At 33.4% G+C, this 16,072-nt stretch overlaps 1 protein-coding gene across 41 annotated transcripts in view; it reads right to left on the bottom strand.

The window, feature by feature from the left end:
* The window catches only part of ROBO2 (roundabout guidance receptor 2), a 1,743,290-nt gene that overhangs the window by 58,342 nt on the left and 1,668,876 nt on the right, over positions 1-16,072 (bottom strand). For all 41 annotated transcript variants that reach the window (NM_001378191.1, NM_001378195.1, NM_001378196.1 and 38 more), the window contains 3 exons: positions 14,009-14,133; positions 11,505-11,676; positions 2,690-2,872 (listed from right to left, as the gene is read on the bottom strand). In NM_001378191.1, the coding sequence (NP_001365120.1) occupies positions 2,690-2,872; positions 11,505-11,676; positions 14,009-14,133 (480 nt within the window). The remainder of the gene's footprint in view (positions 1-2,689; positions 2,873-11,504; positions 11,677-14,008; positions 14,134-16,072) is intronic.

Below are 16,072 nucleotides of genomic sequence, written 5' to 3'. Positions count from 1 at the left end.
CTAACTGAATAGGGCTAAGGTTTCCAAAAAGTTCTGCAGACACCACAATTTAAAATGTTTTTGAATTGCATGAAATATTTTGAATTTCTTGCAATTTTTACACAAATATAAGGTAAAGAGATTTCGCAAGATTATAACATACAAAAAGTAACTCTAATATTACCTCACAGGATGAATCCTAATCTCATGCCTGCTACAACTGGGGTAGAGGAGGAGAAAACATAACTGTGGCAAATTGACATTTTGAGTGAGGAAGCTTTCAGAGTGCCTATCTTTAGTAGGTCACATTTTCCTACTCCAAATAGAAACTTTACTGTTGCAGGCAAGCCTCATTCCCTTTCCCGATAAGCTGTTTCTCAAATATGAATGCAGATTAATCCTTTTTTAATAAGCACTAACTCAGCCCAGATAATCAGAGTATAAAAAATCCATCAAATCTTTTAAGTGCCTTGGATGGTTTTGTCTAATAATGTATATTTCACTGATGATTTTAAGACCTATGTGTGAAGTGTTTAGCATTTCACATAATTTGCTCACTCATATTAAATTGTTTATATTTACTGAGCTTCATAAAATCTGTTATCTTCATAGTGAGCCATCTATCAGTTAAGTAAAAAACTTCTGAAAGGCTTCTCTCTGGCTTGGCCTTACTCCAAAACACCTGAAGGGCATAGCACCTTCTGAGTTAGCAGTTCGTCTACAAGCAGATGAGTAGCAATAACAATAAAAAATTGTAACAGGAAATGCACTATTCTTGTCAAGCTCAATGATCAACATATATTTTCAATTTAAGTGCATAGGTTGTGCAAAGAATTGCTGTTAAAAAAAAGAAGAAAAGTCTCTCTGGTGTAATTTTACTAACAGTATAAACTTACCAACTATGAGAGATATTTTATTTATAAGGAGTGAGTGAATGAAGAAGTATGGAAGATAAAAATGCAACACTCCAAATGTGAATATATTAGAACTTTGCACCGAACTGACCAGCACAGTCAATTTTTTATTATCATTGCTAACATCAAGCAAAGGGATAAACACAAAATAGTCCATGAATTAAATCAGTTCTTCCTTATATTTCATATGATTTATACGAGTGTATCACAGAGATGTAATATGACATGGTGGCTGATTAAACAGAAAGGTTGATGGGCAATACCTTCAGCGATGAAGGCAGAGAACCGGACTGCATAACAAGAAGGTACATTAAAGTATCATTAATTTTCCAGACTCTGACACTCAGTTACTGCCTAGCACCCCTTTCTGCAAAGAATCCTTCACTGTTGAAGTGATATAGCACTTGGGTGACAAATTATGAGGAAGCAGAGAGGCAGCAACCAATGAGAAATGAGAATGGCAAAATGATGGCATGTCACCAAACATGGAAGCCTCTTGTCAATGGATATGCTGTAGTACTTTCTCTAGTCCTGGAAATGTCTTCTAACAAGTAACTAATAAATTTTAACTTCATAAGATATAGACACAAGCTACAATGCTATAATCAAATGATCATAAACATATAAATGCATCAAATAACAAACAAGGCAACCAAGTCAGTGCTATACTTAGCATTTTGCACTATTTCCACATTCTCAGCAGTTTAGGAGCCTACAAGCCACAGCATCGTAAAAGCTTAATAATCAATGACGCCTCTGTCAAAATCAGTTACTAAGACATTTATGCTTCCTACCAAATTTAATATTAGGAATACAAGATTGAATATAATGTCTCAAAAACTTCTTACATATTTGTAAAATAATGTCAAATTAAAACTGCTCCCTTATTAATTCTAGAAAGTGTGAAATGTTGTGAGATATTTCTTATCATTGTTGTTGGAGAAAATATTTAAAATAAAGTGCACTTAAAATTGTAATTGAACATTGCTTCAGTATTGAGTTCATTCTCTCAATCACTGACTTTACAATTTTGTGTGTCCTCTCTCTCTTCTCTCTCTACCATGGAGATATTTTGAAGGCCACATTATAGGACACCCTTGAAACTCTGTCTTGGAGTCTAAGAAGAAAACATTGTTGTGAAGATGTAGACCATCTAGGGTCTTCTTTTTATTGTTCTGCTTCGGCTTCTTTCTCTTTTTCTTCGTTTTCCTTTTCTTTTAAAATACTGTTCATTTGCATTGTAATAAGAGTCTATTTAAGTGAACAGTAAATCACTTAATTCATGCCTCATCAGTCTTATCAATTCTGGTGAGATTTTTGCTTGTCAGTATTTTTCACGAGGGACATTTCCTATTGTAATCTGCATCCTGACACACTAAAAGCTATATTTCAAACTTTTCTTCTTTCCTGAACATTGAAGTAATGCTCATGCATAAATCCACTTCTCAAACATGGCTTCATAGCATGTAACACATAGTCTGCGTGTGCATGTGTGTGTGTGTGTGTGTTTGAGTTTATGATTTCAAAGAACTAGTTGAGAAAAACAGTTAAGCATTTTTATCAGTCTGTGCTCTTGTTATGCTTCACTGGAGCTACAAGCAAACAGACTGCCTTATGGTTATAAAGCGATAGGTCAAGAGCAATGCATTAAAGCATGTTGAGTGTAATTGCATTTTACAGTGCAGGTTTCTAAAATAAGCCCAAATCACTCATTTGTTATTCCTTTCTGTTCCTTCCATTCATTTCATTACATTCCTACAGACAAGAGATTTTCTTAGCTGGAAATAGTCACTTACCAGCATAATTACTGAGTCCCTTCCTCTTCTTTCTTCGCCAATACAACCATATGCTAAAACCCATCAGAATTACCCAGCAGGCACCACCAATACCAGCTATAAAGGCTGGTTGCTTCACCACATCAGTGATTTGCTCAGTTATGCTGTTATTGTTTTCAGTAATGACAACTTCATTGCGTCTCCCTATGGAAAAAACCATAGTATTAGTATATATTAAAACGAAAATAAGCACAGGAATATAAACATGGTGCATCAAAAATGAAGAAAAATTATTTGAAGGCAGGAAATGCTTGTTTAGTTTTGAGCCTATCACAAGTATTGATAAGCATAGCCCATAATTTTCAAAAGAATAATCAAATCGTGAGTTTGCAAATGTGATTAAGAACACTGACCTCTTGTGTTGTGGTTTGCTATGGATGGATTCACAACGTAGTTGATTTATCACCTTATAAATTATAAAAATAAGTACTAGGAGTTGAATTAATAACTTATCTTGAATTACATCAAGTGTTTTTAAATACAGTTCTCATTTTTAAGAAAGCAATTACAACTTTTAACATGGGGTATTTGCAAATTGCTTTTCTGCTAAGGCACGGTCCATATTCCAAATGTTCATAATTCACAAGAACATGTAACTTAATGTTGACCTTAATATTCTACCAAAGAACTTATTTTGAGCCAATATCCTTTAATTTTCTGGGAAGTATTAAAACTACTATACAAAACAATGACAATTATGTAAACAGCCTTCACAGAGATCAGCGTGTATAATTAAAATATGAAAAAGATGAAACTCATATATTCCCTTAAAGTATCTGAAACTAATTTGAAAATCCATTTGAAAGCTAAATTTAAAGAACAACTTAAAAATTAACTTTGAGGTCTCCATTACTGAGAAATGCATTTAAATCTGAACTAAGATTATTCTAGAACTAGTCATGTTTGGAAAATTTAGGCCTCTCAGATAATTAAGAAAATCTCAATCTACATTTTAAATAGGTCTTAAACTTGTGGAATCATAAGATTTATTGGCTTATTTAGCAGATTAAGAAATGTAGATGCTGGGAATTAAGTGATTTCTAATGTTAATATCATGCCTAATTAGTGATTAATGAAAGACTTTTAAAAGGTAAATGGTAAGCAAAATATAAATGGCACATTTCAGCATATCACATCAAAGGAATGTGTGGGATTTTCCTTGTTTTAGCTATAGCACTGTAATATGTTAAAAAGATCATGATCTTTGAAGTCATGATTTTGATGAAACCACTCTGCCACTTACTAGCTAAGTAAGCAGTAAGCTTATATAGGGCACTAAATCTTCTAGAGCCCCTGTCAATTAGTTGGCACCAGTATTGTCTACTTCATATATTTTGGGAGGGTTGAAGTGGAGGCTAATATGTAGTTTTTGACTCAAAATTATGACCCATGTAAGTTTAAGGGCTGCTTTAAGGGCTTCTCAGTCAACCTCAGTGTCATGAGTGATAAATTATCTAGATTTGAGAATCCTGCAAATCTCAATTCACTTGTTTACCTCACTGCTTCTCCTTTCTTCCAAGGCAGAAAATTAGCCTACACTTCCTAGCATCTTTTGCAGCAGAGTTCAAAAAAGTAACTGAGCATTAGCCAGTGGTAACTAGGAACAAAAAGTGCACACGACCCTCCAGGCCTGATCCGTAACACTGCCTTGACTTGAAACTCTCTTTCCTCACTGTTGGACAGAAACAGGGGATCTGTTGGAGGATGTTAAGCTTCCAAGAAATGGCAGAGCTATGATTTGAAAGATCCAAAACCCCTGAATAACGGTATGGAGTAGAAACTCCATTTCCCATTCTGCTGACCCATATTGGTCTGAGCTGTGAATTAGAAATAAAATTTTATTTTGTTAATCTTTTCAAAATTCAGGCTTTTTTATTATAGCTGCTAGCATTTCCTTATACATACTTATAATCCATTCCTGAAAGGTCTTTTGTATTAAATTTCAGATTTAAAAACCAGCGTCATTTATGTAGTAAATCTGGCTCATTTTCCCACTATGTCTGCCTTTAATTATTATACATATATTTATTATATGTTTAATATTATATATTATTATACATATAATTATTAAACATAGTCAAAGCTGTATTTAAAATGAGCTCATATTTTCAATATGAGACATACACCTATCTGGTGATTTCCTTAACTATTAGGAATTATCAGAAAGAAAACAAATAACTTCTTGAACAAAGAGAAAAGAAAATTTGGCCTTCATTTTTGTAAAGGATCCATAATATTTCATTTTTATTAAGGTGCAATATTTATGTTACTCAAGGTGTATTGCTATTTTTTATGCTGCTGGTATTTTTGAAACAATGTTGTCAGTTGGACTAATTAGAGCATAGACAAGGGATGTGTGTGACCTGTAATGCTCCATTGTTCTTGCAGACAAAAAAATATAATGAAATATAATGTCTTCATCCCATTGGAGAGTAATGAAGAACAAAACTAATTTGTTGGACTAAAAATTAATTAGACACATCAGATTCGATTGTACCTATTACCGTGAAAGTTTGCAGCTGTTCCACATATTATAACCAACTATGTAATGTAAGCGTGAAAAGCCAAATGATTAGAGAAGCAATAACTATACTATTAAGCAAGATAACTAAAACTCTTAAGTCAATGTAAATTGGTTATATGACACGCTGCTTAATGGATATATATCTGAATGTATTTGATTGCATTTTTGTGTCTGTAAATGCAATGATGCAGAATTATGGACACTATGATGTAAAAGTCATCTTACCATAGGAAACTGCACAGAAAAGAACAACACCAATGTTACGCCAGTGTAAGGCAGCGTGTTACATTTTTACAATGTTTTAATTAATGGTTCCTTAATGGAACTTTCTGGAAGGAAGGCTAAACTGAGAAGGAATAGATGAAACAATACATGGTCTGGCATAGTACAAATCTAAAATTCTCAACCATAAATTACATCAAATGCCAATACATGATTTAATTAAAACAAAGGGGAAATGTGATACAGTTTGAGTCACTTCAAGTGCCGTTTCCAGTTCTGAATAGACAATGGGAAAGTGTAAATTGAAACAGAAAAGAAGATTAGCCATCACTAAATCACTTCTCAACTAAGGAATAACAGTTGTGTAGATAAGGGCATCAGACAAGATGTTAAGGTAGATACGAAGGAGTAATTAAAGAAACAATTAGAAGGCTTCTCAGTACAAGAGTAGATATTAAAAAGAAATAAATCTCTGAAGAACAAATAGCCTTTTCTAGGTTGAATTGTGATTTGTGTGTGTGTGTGTACACAAAAAATAGAATTTCTGTAATTCTATTTTTATAATTACATTTTGAGTACAGCATATTCCAACTATTTGAACAAAAGATAGATATATTATTTTCTAGGTTACTTTTATCTCATAGAAAAATGTGAAAACACTTGTATGAAATGCTAAATAGTAAATTAAAAGGTACTCATTACCCATCTGAAGACTCAGACTTTTATAAATGATAGGGAAATTAAGTGAAATTTTCTATTTGGTTTAAAATAATCATTAACTTTATTATTTTAAGTTACAGTTCAATTGTTCAGTGCATAACTGTGATTGTCATGACATGAGCTTGGTTATATCGTATGCTTGTAATTTTTTACTTCCCTATAAGGAAATAAATCCCCCAAATATCTGGCAAACAGATAAAATATCTGGCAAACAGATAGTCACTAGGAAGAAAAAGAAACAGAAAGCTCTACTTAAGAATTTAGTATTTATTACTAAAGATAACCAAAAAAAACTATGAAAGGAAAATACGTTATTTGACAGTTACTTGACAATCTTAGTTATCCTTCACTTAGAACAATTATATTCAGCCAATCCATTTCATAAAGATATACAGATATAGATATTTTGTACTGTCTTTCTGGCATATATATGCCAGTATATAGTATATATATATATATGTGTGTATATATATGTGTGTGTGTATATATATATATGTATATATATGTATGTGTGTATACACACACACACACACACATACATATATATATAACTTCTTAAGTGAAAAAATAAGGGCTTATTTCTAAATACTATAAATGAATACACACACATGTAAGTTAAATCCTTTTTGGTATACCTGTATTTCTTTCTTATTCCAATTTATTTTAGAAAATCTCAGAAGGACAAGATTGTAGGTTTCCCTCAGGTTAAGGAATTAATTCAGTCTGAATGACTAATTAAGAAAGAGAAGACAATTTAAAGAAAAGTTAATACTGTAACTTTTTCTCTACAATGCTTTTAATATATAAAAGAAAGAAAACCTAGAGAATCTAAAAAATTTTAACGCTATGACTGAATGTTAAATCTGTCCATATACAATACTTATTTGTAATAGAAAGAATTCTCTAGAAGCTGGCAGTCAGCTTTATATGCATCATTTTAGCAAATAAATAGAAAAAAATGAGAACGGCTTATATCAAACACTTTAAAAACATGTAAACTCTAGGAAGAAGATTTCTTATTTGTTTATTTTTCTTTAAAGGCACTGGCAAGCAAATAAAAGCAGGGAAAACTGAAGGGGATGCATGTATTGAATGAACGGCGCTTTACCAGAGGAAATCTGCAGGGGTGAGGCTTTCTTTCCCTTAGGGAGCACCGCAATCCATACAGTGTGAGGCAGTTAGGACCTCAGCTGAAAAAACTCAATCTTATTGATATGAGGTGTCTCAGGGTGGAGTTCAGGGAGGCCAGAGTGACTTAAAATAGAGAGGAGAACCATATGAAAGAGGGAGATGGTGGAGAGTGATGCTCTCAAATTTGTGTATACTCTCCCCTTACATCCAAAGGTGAACCCTGAACTGTGCATGCAAAGAGAAGATTGTAGGATCTGGTGAAAGCACAGGTTTAAGCTCATGTTCACCGCAAAACTTCCAAACCATGTTAGGAAGACCAGATAAACATATGAGGCTTCTCACCGGAAGCCCAGGAGAGGATCATGCCTTGAAAGTATTTTACTGAGGTTTTGTCTTGAGAATAAGGGCAAACATAAGAAGTCCCATACTAACCAATGTAAAAACTAAGACATCACTGGTTAAAGGTGACCAGACAGTAATGTATGTGCCTGCTAGGACACAAACATGCTTCAAAAGATCACAAAATTTTATTTCATCTGCAATGTTCAGTATAGTAAAAAATTACTAGGCATGTGAAAATAAATAAGCAACAAACCAGAAAAATATAACCCAAGGTCAGCAGAAAAGATAATCAATAGAAGTAGACTATGAGACAAGATGGATGTTGAAATAAGGAGAAAAGAACTTGAAGCAGCTATTACAATAGGTGTATGGACTTAATATGGTCATAATAAATGATTACATGGAAAACATCAGAGGGAAATGAAAAGTGTAAAAGAAAGCAAATGGAAGTTATAGAACAGGAAAGTGTAATATATGAAATGACCAGTTCCCTGGACACTTCCACTTCTGCCCATGAAGAAATAACAGGTATTGGGATATGCACTCCCATTGCAAACAAGTAGAAGACTAGGCAAAATATGTGAAAGAAAAGAGTAGGGCTGTGATCTCAGACAGAAGGGAAAGAAACAGGGACAACTTTAATATTTTCACAGCTTTGTACCTACAGATAACTTTAAAATATGATGCAGCCAAGACTAACCCAAACATTGCTGAACAGCATCCCTGAGTTGAAAAGACTGAAGCACTCATGGAAGCTGAGGGGACTGAAAATGTTTTTTCCTTTTTTTTTTTTTTTTTTTTTTGGAGAGACAGAGTCTCGCTCAGTGACCCAGACTGGAGTGCTGGAGTGTGGTGGCACGATCTCAGCTCACTGCAACCTCCGCCTCCCAAGTTCAAGCAATTTTACTGCCTCAGCCTCCCGAGTAGCTGGGACTACAGGTGCACGCCACCACGCCCGGCTAATTTCTTTTGTATTTTACTAGAGATGGGGTTTCACCATGTTGCCCAGCTGGTCTCGAACTCCTGAGCTCAGGTAATCAGCCAGCCTCAGCCCCTCAAAGTGCTAGGATTACAGACGTGAGCCACTGCGCCTGACCAGGGACTGAATTTATGGAGCAGAATATCAGATAAATATGAGAACTGCACTTTTTATTTTGAATTTATTTGCAAGATAACTGATGTTTAAGGCAAAAACAACACTAGAGCTATAATTTGTATATTGCTGTTTATTACATAGAAGTAAAAGGTATAATAATAACAACAACAAAAAAAAGATGAGAGGAAAAGGAGTGACACTATACTGCTCTAGGATACTTATAGTCAAATCCTAGAGCAACTGTCAGCAAAGAAATGAGGTGTACCTAATAATCCAAGAGCAGCCAAAAAATACTAACCCTTTCTCATTTTATCAAAAGAAAGCAGGAAATTTGGAAGATAGTAACAAAGTTAGCAAACAAATAGCAAGATAGTAATTCTAAACAAACACACCAATGATTACATTAATAATAACATTCTGAGTATGCAATTAAAAAGGCAAAGATTGCTAGATTGGATTAAAAAAAAACAAGACTGGCTAGGAGAGGTGGCTCATGCCTGGGAGGCCAAGGTGTGAGGATCACATGAGGCCAGGAATTCGAGAGCAGCCTGGCCAACATGGTGAAACCCTGTCTCTACAAAGATACAAAAGTTAGCCGGGTGTGGTGGCATGTGCCTGTAGTTCCAGCTACTCAGGAGGCTGAGGCAGGAGAATCTCTTGAACCTTGGAGACAGAGTTTGCAGTGAGCAGAGATCACCTAACAATATGCAATTTAATAGAACTGCACATTAAATACAGAGAAACATGGGTTAAAATGAAAGAATGAAAAAATGACAATCCATGCAGTTACTTACAAAAGATGATGTAGCTATGCTAATATCAGACAAAGTAAATTTTAGGATAGGGAATCTCACCAGAAAATAAACGTAGCCATTTAATAATAATAAAGGGTAAATTTAAAAAGAAGATATAATAATCTTAAAACATACTCATGTAAAACAAAGTAGCCAAAACATGAAACACAAACTTATAGATGAAAGGGGGAAATACATAAATCCATAATTACAATAGATTTCCAGACTGTTTTTAGTAATTAAGAGCGCAAATAGAAATCAATAAAGACCTGATAATACTAACAAATAATTTGACCTGAGATAAAACCTTCCACTGAAAAAACAGAGAAATGCAAATACTTTTCAAGTGTACAAGAAACATTCAATGAGATCAAATCCTGTGTCAAAAAATAAGTCTCCATATTTAATAGAGTAAATTTACACAAAGAAAAATTATTCTGAGGCTCTGGCCTCAGGGGAATTAAAGTAGAAATCAGAAACAAAAAGATATCTGGAAAAGTCCCTAAACATTTGGAAATTAAATAATACACTTATAAATAACCTCTATGAAAGAAAAACATATGGAAATAAATAAGCCTCATTCCTTTAACCACATTGCAGTTACCATCAGATGAATTATAGACCTCCGCATAAAAGCTAAAATTATAAAGCTTCTAGAAGAAAATATCCTCAGTATCTAGAGGTAAGCCACAATTTCTTAGGAAGCACTAAATATCAAAGAAAAATGATAAATTGTACTTCATTAAAATGTAATACTTTTGTTCATCAAATGACACTATTAAGAAAATGAATAGGGAAGTCATGGACTGGGAGAAAATATTTGTAACACATATACATGGAAAAGAATTTGTATCCAGAATGTACAAATAACTCCTACTAATCAGTAACAAGAGACAACCCAATTTTTAAAAGGCAAACATGTGGTCAATTCACAAAAGAAATTATGTGAATGGCCAATAAGCACATGTAAAGTTGCTTGACATTATTAGTCATAAAAGAAAATTTAAGTTAAAATCACAGGTTATCCCAATTAGAATGGCTAAAATCACAAAAACTGGAAACATCAAATGTTGGTGACAATGTAGGGCAACTAGAAGTCATTTTTCTTGCTGGTGGGAGTACGAAATTATATAACAATTTGAATATTGTTTAGCAGTTTCTCATAAACTCAAACTATACAACTCTTTTACCCAGACATTAGACCCTAGGTATTTCTCCAAAAGGACACAAACATTTACACAGTAATATTCATTCTGTCAGGTGAAAAGCAGATAAACAAAATATGGCATATTCATACAATTGAATACTGCTCAGCAGTAAAACATATAAACTGAATAATACATACATGGATGAATTTCAAAAACATTATCCTTAGTGAAAGAAACCAGATTTAAAAAATCACATTCTGTATGATTCCATTTATATACATCTCAAGAACAGACAAACATAATCTATGATAAGAGGGAACAATTTTATGCAATGATGATATTAGATTTAATATGATTTCTTCTTTGGGATGGTATATTTAGATTACAAAGCTTATTCTGACCTGTTTCTTGTTAATTTTTGACATTTCTCTGACTAAGAGGAAGCATACAGATTTGAAACATGATGGTCTCTCTTCAGTAACTATCTCATTTTTATTATATTTCAATGGCACCAAAATTGCTAATGAGGCAATTGATTAAAAGTAATTTTAAACTACCTTTCAGCATTTAAACTCTTAAATATTGCAATTTTAATAAGGCTCTGGGACTTTTAAGAGCATGATCAATTGCACCAAGTATTTTTGTAAAAAACTCTAGTCAGTTAACCCATTTGTCAATATGATATGTGTACCCTATCATTCATAAGTGTATATTCACTATTAGTAGGTTGATGCAAAATCATCATCCACCTTGTCAGCTGACTGATTCTAAAGCACAGACCACATAGTTTGATACTCACCGATTATTATTGGCTGTGGCTCACTCTTTACTCCAACCCCTGCACTGGTACTAGCTGCAACCTCTACCCGGTATTGAATACCTGGGAATAATCCACCAATTATTACGGACCGAATGGCTGCATCCACAGTTTTGTTGATATGGAATCGCGTTTCATTTCCTAGACACCAGATCTACAGAAATGGAAAGTGAATAACACATGGATATAAGATTATCGTTTCTGGTAACGAGACTACTGTAACTGATCAAATATTTTTTAATCATAACCTGTCTATCTTCTAGGCTTATAGAAGTTTTGCAAATGACATCTTCTAAAGCCCAACCTCTGCAGTTTGAGTGTATATGTAAGTGTGTTTGTGTGCACATGCACCTGTATTAAAGGAAGAACAATAAGGGAAGCTGAAACTATGCCATGTTCATTTATATCTTATTCTCAGCACTGCATGCTCATAGTGAGTAATTTAGAAAGCACAGTGATTTCTTTAACACCTCTGGTATGTGGTCTTTGGTTGCAAATGGCATTTTTGTATGGATTAAAACACATAATTTCCTCTGTTTTATTTATCAAGATTTATTATGCATATAATCCACTAAAATATGGTGATTATAAGTTGTAATATCTAAGGTATATAGGTAGACATCTAAGTAATTTATATTTCATTTAAGAAAATATTAACTTACACAGAAGTAGTTAACAAGATGAATTGACCTAAGTTATAGGTATTGACTAAAATGAAATTAAAGCCAATATTTACGTTGACAGCAATAAATCTAATATTGATCAACACATATCTACACACACATACACATTCATGAGAACAAAGTGGTGGCAAGTCTTTAGATATTGATGTTAAGGAAGTCAGGCTTTTATTTCAAGTAGGAATCAAATTTTAGGGCATCTTCTTGGATATAGAAATTGTTCTGATGAAATGTGTTATGAAAAGAAATCCACTGTGTATCCACATTTGTATTCATATTATACAATATTTAAAAATCTACATGTAGACACATATGTAGGAAAACATATGATTTGTTTCGGAGCAGGTAAGTTCCCAGAATTTTTCAGTAAAAAATAATTCTTGTGAATCATGTGTTTCTTTTATTGATATATGGTATCTGTGTTCTTAGTGAAGGAATATTTAGCTCTTACCTACATATGTGCTTTGAAACCAAAATATGGCAAGTGCCTAGAGAGTGAGAACATTTACAACTTATGGAAAAAAAATTCATCATGTTGTAAAAAAAAGTAACAATATTTAACTACATGGAAATTTAGGATATTTAGTGCCAAATGGTACAAAAATAAATTCCTAACCTCATTAAAACACACACACACACTCAAACTCACACAGAGTAGATAATTTGTTACTCTGTTAAAACAATGTCCTAATGCTTATAAAATCTTAGAATCTATATAATTATTGTATTGTAAAAGCATTTATTCTTATGTTTCTTAAGCATGTGTCTTTACAACATGATAGAAATCATTTTAAAATAAAGCCTTATACATTTAGTCCATTCATTTGCTTTAGCAAGTTATTCTTTAATAAAATTGTATGTAAAAATTAATATTTCCTTAGAAATAAAATTTAATCTGCAAACTTTTGAGTAAATTTATTCAGCTTAATATTAAATACCAACTCTGAATTTTGTAGGTGAAATGGGTGTCTAGTTTTGTATTATATTAGATGTATAGAATATGCTATTTTCAGAAATCTAGAAATATTTATTAATAAATGATATCAATAGATGATTTATTAATAAATTATAGTTTTGAATTTTACAAAGATTAATGAGGGGTTTTTCATTCACATGTGGTCTAATCACAACACAAACAGAATCTTATTTTGAAAACGTAGACATACTTTCTACTTTACACACCAAATGATGGCAATGAAACAATAGATACATATGTTTCTAAACAGCCAAAAATTCATCAGTTGAAAAATGAGACAATCAACTGTTTTTTCTGTAAGTCAGTATTTTGTAAAATATGTTCAGTGGCTTTTTTTCAGGTGAAATATTCTACACAACCTCAATAAATACACAAAAGTAGCATCTAGAGTGAGAGTCGGTGCTGCCACAACCCACTCCACCTCTTTAACCCCCGAAGCATCTTTTTTTCTGAGAACGTGGTTTAAAAACAGCTGCCTTAAAGCCTCTTATGCAGAATTCTAATAACAAAGATAAAATCCATTTTCTAGGCTTCACAACCTACCCTGTGTCCCATCTCTTTAAATCCTTGAGGTTGTAGAGTCACACTATACAGAAAACCATTTCACTGGTGTGGTTTAATTGTTCAACTGGGTTTGTGTGATCTCTGACCTTGAACTCAGGTTCTAATACCTATGCATTTGTTTCATTCTCTGTCACACAGAAATATAAATAAAAACTTTACACTTAAACTGAATAAGAGAACCTTTAGAGATGTGTCTCATTCGTGAGACACTGAGATTTCTCTGGGAACCTTTACATGAGAGCTGTCCTTCTTCACCCGGGTCCTACCTTGTATTCTTGGATAATTCCATTCTGGTGATCTGGAGGAGGAGGATCCCAGGAAACACTAATACTTGTGCTATTGTAGCTTCCAACTGTCAGTACAGTGACAGACTGTGGTGGGGCACTTGGGGCTGTAGAGGAAGTAATTAGAATAAATGCAAACTATAAGCCTTGGTGTGCGTTCATGCTACTTTCAGAATATGAGTATAAAGACAAGTTGCAGGAGACTCTGGCTTCCAGGAGTTCTGAATGCACACGGTGTTCAACAGTGACAGTTTTTTTGAGAAATGTTCTTTAAATACAATATCTAGATTTAAAGCAAATGGAACAGCTTTTGTAATATGCTCTCAATAATAAATTTACAGCTAACATTCTAATAAGTGTTTTCTATACACCCCGCACAGAGCTAAGTGTCAGGTTTAATGCTTGCATTAATCTCAGGAGGTAGAAACAACTCTTATCTCGGTTTTACAGATGAGGAAACAGAAGGTTACTGTAAGAGACTTAGGAAAGTCAAAGAGCAAGTCAGAATTTGAGCCGGTGTATGTCTGATTTTAGAACTCTACTCTAATAGACTGTCTTTCTAAAAACAACCATAACTTCTTCTAACCAAAATTATTCTGAGAAGACATATTCCAGTATTTATCACATGTTATTTCTGAACGGTGGCATTATTGATAGCTATTTTGGTATGCTTTTAGCTTGTGCTTACTAAATAAAAACAGAAACATAACTATAAATGTCATCAACACAGAAAAAACTTCTTTTTCTTCCCATACTGGGAAAAATAATTGACTGCTATAAATTGACCCGCAAGTTAAGATTGAAAACTTATATTATATGGATGGGCAAGGGACTCTGATGATAAAAATGAAAACAGTTCATGTTGGGTCAAATGTGAAATGGGAAGATTTTGATTTCCTACAATAATTCTCTGCCTTTATAGTTTCTCCTATAACTAATTACAACCATACTGAGAAAAGGCAAGAGAGAAGCTCTTCCTGATTTTAGAATGCCACATCTCTCATTTAATGTGCCTGAGAACTAAGAAATAATAACTTTGTGGAAAAATTCATCTATTCTCAGTGATTCTCTGAATTAAAATCAAAGGTGGGGGTAGTTAAAATCATAGTATTACATAACATCGTTCTTAACAGTTTAAAATATCAAATAATTTGGTGGTATTAATGGCTTTTTATGTAGAATCATCAATGCTTACATAGCTCTACATGGTTTAGTTTTTTGAAACTATCCTAAATATCCTAAAATATATTTTAAAAGCCTGACAGCAGATATCCCATGTTTTGTAAATATGTCATGACATATTTCACTTAGGTATAGCCATATTTGCATTGAGATATAGGACACACACAGCAACATGTTAATAGAGTACTGGTCTTTCCTATTCCTCTTTGTGACAATATTGCTCCAAAATATGGCATGATGAATAAATCCAACCACTTGTCTACGAGCCTTGTAGTTATTAAGTAGAATGCATTGAAAAATAAGACTTTCAGAATGGGTTTCTCATTCACCTTGCTGCTGGCTCGGCGAGAACACCGTGCCTGCTTCCTGACAGGTCAATTATTCCAGGACTCAGCTTCGTTCTACAGATGTGAAAGAACCCAAATCGCCGCTCATCATTCCCAGACACAGCCCAGCTGAGTTCCATTTGTTACCATCACATAGCCACAGAAATTGGAGATGAATGTATACCCAACAGGGACAAATGTCTAATCCAGAGGAAAAGTCTAACTGCAGTGAAATTGATTTTGGTAACAGGCTTCAAAGAGAGCATTCTGTGTTAAGGTTACCTGCTCCACTCATTAATACTACCAATTTGCAACACAGAGTGAAATTTAACGATGAATAAAGATATGATGATAATGATTATTATTTTTAAACATGTTGGCAAGGAGAAAAGATACTATTATAATTACTGGCAACTTTTCAACATATCCTAAAAATAGATTAATGATGCCTTTTTGAATATGCATTTTTGCCCCTGCCAGTGTATCACACTGCAAAACAATGGGAAGATGACATTTTTGCCATGTTGTGTAAGAAATG

Source organism: Homo sapiens, chromosome 3 (genome assembly GCF_000001405.40).
Source record: "Homo sapiens chromosome 3, GRCh38.p14 Primary Assembly".
Classification (NCBI taxonomy): domain Eukaryota; kingdom Metazoa; phylum Chordata; class Mammalia; order Primates; family Hominidae; genus Homo; species Homo sapiens.
Note: the sequence above shows the minus strand (reverse complement) of the source record. Positions and strands in the feature narration are given on the sequence as shown.